We start from the raw sequence: 9,843 nt of genomic DNA, 5'->3' as shown, positions 1-9,843 counted from the left end.
TACTCTCTATGTCCATGAGTTCAATTGTTTTGATTTTTAGATCCCACAAATAAGTAAGAACTTGTGATGTTTGTCTTTCTCTGCCTGACTTGTTTCACATAACTTAATGATTTCTAGTTCCATTCATGTTGTTGCAAATGACTGGATTTCGTTCTATTTTATGGCTGACTAGTACTCCATTGTGTATATGTACCACATTTTCTTTACCCAGTCATCTGTTGATGGACTGTTAGGTTGCCTCCAAATCTTACCTATTATAAACAGTGCTGCAACAAACATAGGAGTACAGATACCTCTTTGATTTCTTTTGGGTATATGTCCAGAGTGGGATTGCTGGATTATATGGTAGCTCCATTTTTAGATTTTTGAGGAACCTCCAAACTATTCTCCATGGCAGTTGTACTAATTTACATTTACAGTGTACAAGGGTTCCCTTTTCTCCACATTTTCACTAGCATTTGTTATTGCCTGTCTTTAGGATATAAGCCATTTTAACAGGGGTGAGATAATATGTCAGTATAGTTTTCATTTGCATTTCTCTGATGACTCATGATGTTTAAGCATCTTTTCACATGCCTGTTTGCCATTTGTGTGTCCTCCTTTGAGAAATGACTATTCAAATCTTTTGCCCATTTTTTTCATCGGATTATTTTAGATTTTTTCCTATAGAGTTGTTTGAGCTCCTTATATACTCTGGTTATTAACCCTTGGTCAGATGGGTAGTTTACAAATATTTTCTCTCATTCTATGGGTTGTCTCTTCACTTTGTTGTTTGTTTCCTTTGCTGTGAAGAAGCTTTTTAACTTGATGTGATCCTTCTTGTCCATTTTGCTTTGATTGGCTGTGCTTGTGGGGTGTTGCTCAAAAAATTTTTCTCAGACCAATGTCCTGGAGATTTTCCCCAAGGTTTTCTTGTAATTCTTCCATAGTTTGCGGTCTTAGACTTCAGTCTTTAGTCCTTTTTGATTTGATGATTTACATGGAGAGAGATAGGGGATCTAGTTTCATTCTTCTGCATATGGATATCCAGTTTTTCCAGCACCATTTATTGAAGGGACTCCCTTTTCCCCAGTGTATGTTCTTGGCACCTTTGTTGAAAATGAGTTCATTGTAGGTGTGTAGGCTTGTTTCTGGGTTCTCAGTTCTCTTCCATTGGTCTATGTGTCTGTTTTTGTGCCAGTTACATGCTGTTGTGATTACTATAGCTCTGTAGTACAATTCGAAGTCAGATAACATTAAAGTTTTTTAATTCAATTATTATGCTTTCCATTTCCAAGATTTCATTTTTTATATGCATATGTTCTTCATTTTTGTTTTTGTTTTTTTTTCTTGTTGTGAATTATCCCTTCATTTGTATGTTTGAGGGGCCTCAACATGTTTTAAAAGACCCTTCAGATCATGCTTTTATTTTCATTCATCTAGGATACATTGACCTTTCACTTATTGATTTTATTGGATGTGTTTCCTAAATTTAATTTTCCACGTATTTTGAAATTTGGATTTTTTTTCTCTAGTTGAAGGTTCTTGCTGATGTTCTCTTGTCTCCGCTCACCTCTCTTTTTCCCAGTAGTTTTACAGTCCAGAACCAAATATCATATTGGTTGGTCTGAGCTCCTGCCTCTCAGTACTATTGAACATAAAATAAATTAATTTGCTGCACCAGAAGGAAGCTTGGCTCAACATCTGTTCAAAACACTATATCCAGAAACCTTCATAGACTCAGGCTTTATTAAACCACAGCTCTAGGCAGATACTGATAGTAAATTTTATCAGTCTCCTCTGCTGAATAGAAAAGTTCTATTGTAGTTCCTGAATTCAAACTCAAATCTGGCTTGGTTTTCTTGCCCGACCCTTTAATTCATAGGGACTAGACTCCCAGCAGATCCTGGGCTTTAGCCTTTTCACCACTTTATACTGCTATGTCATTTCTAGTTCATAAAAATTCTAACTTAATTTTAATTTTCTCTCCTATATATTATCTATCATTGATAATAGTTTGAATACAGGAAGTGGAGTAAGGAAACCATCTTTATTACTATATAAGACAAACTCTAACTTTATGAATTTAATTGTTACTTAAAGAAATAAAACAGTATACATAATGCTTCAAAAGCAAAAACATGTTTGAGAGAGATAAAATTAAAAACTTGTACATGATTATTTGACTCTTGCTATCCAGTGGTTAAAAATATCTTAGCAAAAAAAGAAGCAAATATAACTAAGATTCGGAAAGAATGTACTTTATGGCCATTAGCAGAAAAAAATAAGAGTGGTAGAAAACAATAAAGTTAAAAGCACATTTGTACTTCAACATTTACCATTAAACACCTCAAATGTTAAGATGTCTCTGTGTGTGTGTGTGTGTGTGTGTGTGTGTGTGTGTGTGTGTGTGTGTGTAGAGCACAAAGGTCTACAAGGAATGGAGATGTACTTGAAATTTTTAATCTCTTGGTCTAAGCTATCACTAAATGTGATTAAAACAAAAAATGCATAATTAGAGCAAAATATTGTTATCTGTTTTGTTCAAAGATGCATCCCAAGTGCCTAGTTCCTGACATAAAGAGATACTCAATAATCAATCAGCATTATGTAGTTGACATAATGTATCTTGCCTTCATTAATTCAGTTGAGAAGGCTCCTGTTTTGGGGGCAACAGTTAAAGAAATAAGACTGGTTAAGTGATACAATTAGGTAGGCTAATTGTTAGTTCATGATCTTTCTTATTGTGTGATTATTAGTGGACTGAAGTGATCCTGGAGGGAAATGAAAATAAAATAATAGCTTTAGACATCCTGATTCTGGGAGAGACAGAAAGAATGTCATTTGTAGCCATCTGCCTGGAAAAGCTGATATTATCTCTCTAGAGGCACTTGCTCTAACAGGGGATGTTTAGCTCCACTACTTGCCCTCTATCTTACCGACTCCTCCCTACAATCCAGGAGAGTCCACCAAAGCCCTACATTCCTTTTTCCTTTTACTCTACATGGAGACCTCCTCTGGTTTATCTGGATAACCAGATAAATACCACTGATGACAAACCAGAGCTCAATGCCTCCAAAGGGAATGGACCATAGCAAGTCATACCTATATAGTGGGCAGCAATCCTTGTCCCATCTTTCCTAGCTCCCATTATAAGCCATTAAGTCATTCTGGCCAACTTTGTTCCCAATATAGAACACTCTAATTCAAATGACAAAGTTTGGTCAAGGTACAAAGATTGGTAAGAATGACATTGTAGTCCAGTTTGAGATACTTTCATTTTATTTTACTATTTTTTCAATTGACAAGCAAAGAAGACCCAGAACATTTGATGATGCAAGTGGATTCTGCTCTCATCTTTCTCACAGAGATGATACCAGGATTTGGTGAAGAAGCCACATGTCAAAGAATCCCAAAACTGCTGGCTTTTTAGTCAGATTCCCTTTTAAACAGGGAACATCAGACTTTGGAAAGCAGGGTGGAGTAGACTGCATTGGGAAGCAACTGTATTGACTTTTTTTATTTGGGGATGTTGGAAGATTCTCTCATCTGTGGTTCTCTTGGTATAAGTAATCCTTTATCACCTTCACTGTTTGCTCATGGCCAACTCATGCCTCAACCACCTAACTCCTGTGTTTCACTCTCCTCTGGGGACCCTTCACTCCAGGAGGGTCTTTGGGGAAACCTCCACTAAAGGAGGGTCAATCCAGCCTCCTTTTTGTGGGTCTATTTCCAGCCTATAAGAAATAATACAAGAACTAAGCCCAGTTTGGGGGTTGATCATTTCTTTTTATGTTTTCTTTTTATAACTTGTTCTATTTTTATTGAAATACTATGTGCACATAAATTTCAAATAAGTTAGTGCTAGAAGGCTGAAAACAAAAACCATACTTTACACTCCCTACTCCGCATCTACTGCCCACACCCCCTCCTCAGAGGCAAACTCTTTCAAATCTCTTAGCTATATATTATGGGCATTTAACTCTATGTTTCCAAATAGTAGATGCATAAATTCCTACAAGGTTGAGTTAGGTTGCTTCATACAGCAGCAAAAGTTGGTGGTAGGATAAAGTGATGAGTTATGATATTTCTTTGGGGGTTCCTTGGAACTTGCTTTCACTTTCAGTTAACTCTCTAAAAGTTTCTTTTAAGATGACAGATTTTCTCAGAAATAGAAAAGTCAAATTACAAACCTGTTTAGAAGAAACTAAAAAATTAACAACAGAAAGTACACTCCAGCAAAGAGCTCCATGTTACGCTATGGCAAGCTCTACTATTAGGTTCCCAGATAAACCCATAGCATTATTATTCTGTGCACCAAGAAAACTCATGATGTTCTTGCACGTTCATTTGCCAAAATATTCAGAAAATAACTTTCAAAAACCAAACCAAATAGTTATGCTTAAAATACTTACAAAAATATAAGCAATAATAAAGTTAAACCAGGATGTTTTACTGGTGAGCAGATCTCATACTTCACCAAATTTAATAAATGTTTTATTATAAAAATTCAATGTGTCTTCTTGTACTAGGATGAAGACATTGAAGGCTGTGAAAGTCAAAGGAGGCTCGGCGCAGTGGCTCATGCCTATAATCCCAGCACTTTGGGAGGCCTAGGTGGGCAGATGACCTGAGGTTGGGAGTTCAAGACCAGCCTGACCAACATGAAGAAACCCCGTCTCTAGTAAAATACAAAATTAGTTGGGCGTGGTGACATTTGCCTGTAGTCCCAGCTACTCAGGACGCTGAGGCAGGAGAACCACTTGAACCTGGGAGGCAGAGGTTGTGGTGAGCCAACATCATGCCATTGCACTCCAGCCTGGGCAACAGGAGTGAAACTCTGTCCCCCCACCAAAAAAAAGTAAACAAAACACATGAAATTGTAATCAAAATAGTCATTCTTACCTACCATGGAAATGTAAACTATGTGCCCTGCTTGTCAATTTGTTCTGCTAATTATGCAATGCCCTTCTTGGATCCTGGAATAAAATGGCATTGTTCTCAATATTACTGGCATGCACGTATTTTAGAGACTTCGTATTACCCACAGCTATAAGCCTTTTAAAAATTATATGTTAAGGCCCCTTCTACTTATACTATAACAAGTACTATTTTCAGGAAAGCAGTTACTTCATAGGTATTTTCAGCTACTTCCTTCAGAACAGAAATAACTTCTTTGGGAAACGATCATCAAGAAAAATAGGGCCTTTTATTACAAGTATTCCATTTGTTCCATTTCTTGTGAAATCATCAAGATAGTGAAGGCATGGTAACTGTATCAACAGATGCTTCAAAAGGAAGTACATCAAATGTTTTAATAGTTTGACAAATTAGAGTATAAGGAAAATGAGTTAGAGCCTACTCTCGAAGAGCTCACTGCCTAATAAGGAAGATAAAATACTCAGTCATAATACTACATATGATGCTACAGGAACTCAGAAGATAAAATAACCAGAGGCTGCTTGGAAGATAATGTCTGACCTCATTCTGGAAAAAAAATCAGCCACAGAAAGAAGGGGAGGCTGAAATACATCAGTGGAACTACTATGTCACTTACCACTTATACTAATAGTGGTATTACTGTATCTCTTGTGCATCAGTGATTAAATTATACCTGTGTGTATAGGTGTTACCTGGCCCTCTTTGCATCACCTTATGGGAATTGGGGTTTAGAAAACCAACACAAAAATGCAAATACTTTGGCTATGGCTATTGGTTTGATTAGTAAATTTTTCTTCATCCTTGTCCCAGAAGTCTTGAGTCTTCCACCAGGATTCATGAAACTGTGGCAGACTAACTTGTTAGCTTTCAAGAGGAGTAAAATTTCAGCCCTTTCAAAGTTCTTCACAGTGACTGTGTCACATATTGTTACATTTTGCTGTATAACAAACAAATACAAAATTTAATGGCTTAAAACAGTAACAACTAAAGATAGACACATTCATCAATGAAATGGAATACAGAGTCCAGGAATATAACCAGATAAGTAAGATCAAATGACTTTTTTTACAATGGTACACAAGTGATTCAATGGAGTAAAGACAATTTTTTCAACAAATGAGCTGGAACAAATGACTATCCATATGCCCCAAAGTAAATATCAACCTATATCTCACACCTTATATAAAAATTAACACAAAATAGACCATAGATCTACTTTAAAATGTAAACCTATAAAACTTTAAAAGTAAGCGTAGAAGAAAATTTTTGTAACTCTGGGTCATGCCAAGAGTTCTTAGATATTATACCAAAAGTACAATTCATGAAAGAAAAAAATTACAATCTGGGCTTCAAAAAATTATAAACATTTGATGTGTGTAAGCCACTGTTAAGAGAAAAGCACTGTTAAGAAAAACCACAAACTGAGAGAATATGTTTGCAAACTCTATATTTAGTAAAGGACTTGAATCCAGAATATATTGAGAACTCTCAAGACTCAAAAGTAAGAAAACAATCAAATTTTTTGAAGTGAGCAAACTATCTAAACAGGTACTTCACCAAGAAGATATATATATATATATGGCAAGTAAGCACATGCAAATATGCTCAACATCGTTAATTACTAAGGAAATGCAAATTAATACCACAATGATATACTACTATATACCTATTAGAATGTCTAGGGGTTTTCTTTAATGACCATACCAAACTCAAATGAGGATGTGTGAAGCAATTGGAACTCATTCACTACTGGTGGGAATGTAAGGTATAGCCACTTTGGAAAACAGTTTGGCAATTTCTTATAAAATTAAATTTTAGATATTTTATCCAAGAGAAATAAAAAGTGATGTTCACACAAAATCCAGTGTATAAACGTTTCTAGCAGCTATATTCAAAATTTCTAAGCACTGAAAACAAATGTCCCAAATGTCCTTCAGCTGGTGATTGAATAAAACAAACTGTGATAAATCCAAAAAACAGAATCCTACTCACCAATTAAAAGGAACAAAGTACTGATACAATAACACAATGAATCTGAAATCCATTAACGTAAGTGAAAGAAATCAGGCTCAAAAAGCTATAAACTGTAAAATTCCATTTATGTCATTCTGGAGAAGGCAAAAGTAGCACACAAAACAGATCAGTGGTTTCCAAATCTTGGATGTAAGGGAGGGTTGACTACAAACAAGCAGCACAAAAGAATTTTGGAGGATGATGGAACTGTTCTGGTGAGTATCACACAATTCCGTGTATTTGTCAAACTTCATTAGAACTATTCACCAAAGAGACTGAATTTTATTATTTCTCACAATTTAGGGGATCAACTGGAGTTAGTTGGATGCTTCTTTGGCTCTATGCAGCATTAGCCAGGGAAATTTACAAAGCAGCATTGATCAGAAACTGGTCTAACCTGGAAGGTCAAAGAGGCTTCACTCGTGTCTGGCATGTTAGAGCTCCTCCATGTGGCCTCGTCACGTGGCTAGCTTGGGCTTGTGAAGTTAGCCCAAGAGATTACGGTGGGAATGACTCTGCCAGCTCTGGGCCTAAACTTTCAGAGGCCTAGCAGCTTCCATCTTATTCTGCAAAGCCAGCCATCATGTAAGAAATTTAGCTATCCTGAGACTACTGTGCTAGGAAGAAAGAGGACCAGATTAAAGACGAGGGTAAATCGAATCCATCTTTTGATGGTTAGAGTGGTGAATGCACAACAGCGAGGGGAGAAAATCAAAGCAGCCATCTTTGGAGACTACCTAATGCCCAAAGGCACTAAAAATGCCCCAAAGCACTGAAAAATGTCCATTTGGTTCAGAAATTTACTTACTGTGGTGCACATAGATTAATTGTATTAACATGACAGTAGGATTGTAAGCCAAATTATAAGTATATGAAGATTAAATGGAAAACAAAGAAGTGAGACAGTAAATATAATTACTTCATAGACTAAAAGAAAGAAATGAGAAAGGCTTTCAGATACATGCAGGGTAACACAAAGAAAAGCTTTCAAATTATATATATTAAAAAAAAGACCTAAAATATTTATACACTGAGTGGACAGACCCATCAAGAGAGTTAAAAACAAAAGCCACAAGAAAGAATTAAATTTGTAAATGAAAGAAATAAAATAACAAAAGTTAAAAGAAAAAGTAATAAAACATGTTTATAACCTCAAAGTAGGGAAGAATTTCCCAAATGGACAAAAACAAGGACGCTATAAAGAAACCTTACACAAAGACAATTTAGAAGATGATGACTGACCAAATGGAAATATTTGCTAGATAGGTAATCTGTAATACTTAAAGACTTATAACACGTCAATTAGAAGGACAATCCATATGAAAAAAAACTGGGCAAAGGAGCAAAGGACTACACAGTACAAATGTACAATGCAAAAAATAAGATATAAATATTACCAATAAACAGTGATGAGATGCTCAATCCTACTAGTAATCAGGGAATTGCACATGAAAATAAAATATCTTTTTCCTATAAAATTGACAAAAATTAGAAATATTGATTTGTACCCAGTGATGATGAAGAAATGGGGAAGTGGACACTCACAGACTCTTGGTTGTAATATAATTGGTACAAATTATTTGAGAAGTAATTTGGTAGTACTTGTTATAATTCAAAACAAGCACATCATTTGAGTCGGCATTTTAGCTTCTAGCAATCTAGTTTATGAAAATAAAAGCGTAAGTATGGAAAGACATATGCAGATGGATTTTTGTATTATAAGCAATATTGAAAATTAGAAACAATCTAAATATACATAAAGAAATGATTGAGGCCGGGTGCGGTAGCCTACACATGTAATCCCAGCACTTTGGGAGGCCGAGGCAGGTGGATTGCCTGAGGTCAAGGGTTCAAGACCAGCCTGGCCAACATGGCGAAATCCTGTTTCTATTAAAAATACAAAAATTAGCTGGGCATGGTGGCGGGTGCCTGTAATCCCCACTACTGGGGAGGCTGAGGCAGGAGAATCACTTGAACCCGGGAGGCAGAGGTTGCAGTGAGCCGATATCGCACCACTGCACTCCAGCCTGGGTGACAGAGGAAGGCTCCATCTCCAAAAAAAAACAAAACAAAACAAAAAACAGAAAAGAAAAGAAAGAAATGGTTGAATAAACTATAATGCTGCCATATAATTGAATATTATGCAGCCAATATAAAAGGCAGATCTATATATTGATTTGTTAGTGTAAAAAGCAAATTTTAGATCAATTACAGAATAATCTTATTCTTGAAAATATGAAAACATCTGGTTATCCACATAGATTTATTGCATATATTCAAGAAATATAAATTTAATTAACATAGATTACCTTAGGGAAGATGAAATTTGATGACTGGGTAATAGAAGGAACATTCACTAGGCAATTTAGATAATTTTTAAGGTGAAATTACAGATGATTCTTTTTGTTATTTTCTAGCATTTTTCTGAAATAAGAGAGAAAATAACTGCCTGAGCAAGGATGTAGAGGACACTGGAGAGAAAGGAGCCAAGGACATAAATGGAAGGGCTCATCTCAGACACCACAGACACTTCACTCTGGACGTGCATGAAAAGAGGGAAGAGTTGGTGAGGATATAAATCAGTAGAAGTGCAGGAGGTAGGGTGGGAAACCTGGAAGTTGAGACATCTTGCCTGATGGTCCTGATTTCTCAATAAAGATGAAGATGAAACCTGGGCTTGAAGAAAGTGGTCAGGATTTGGAAGAATCAATGAAGAAAAGGAGAAAGGATGCTCACCAAGGATGAGGCAGGAAAAGTGCACCCCTGGAATTCTATATAGGCCTAGAAGTGGCCCTTAACTGCAAGGCAGGCTGGGAATGTAATCTTGCTTTCTGGCCAGAAAGAAGAGAATAGATTTTGGTGGGCTGCCATCATCCTCTGCCACATTGTGACTATCTTAGATTTTCTTGG

Source organism: Homo sapiens, chromosome 4 (assembly GCF_000001405.40).
Source record: "Homo sapiens chromosome 4, GRCh38.p14 Primary Assembly".
In the NCBI taxonomy this organism is placed as follows: domain Eukaryota; kingdom Metazoa; phylum Chordata; class Mammalia; order Primates; family Hominidae; genus Homo; species Homo sapiens.
This window is presented reverse-complemented; position numbering follows the sequence as displayed.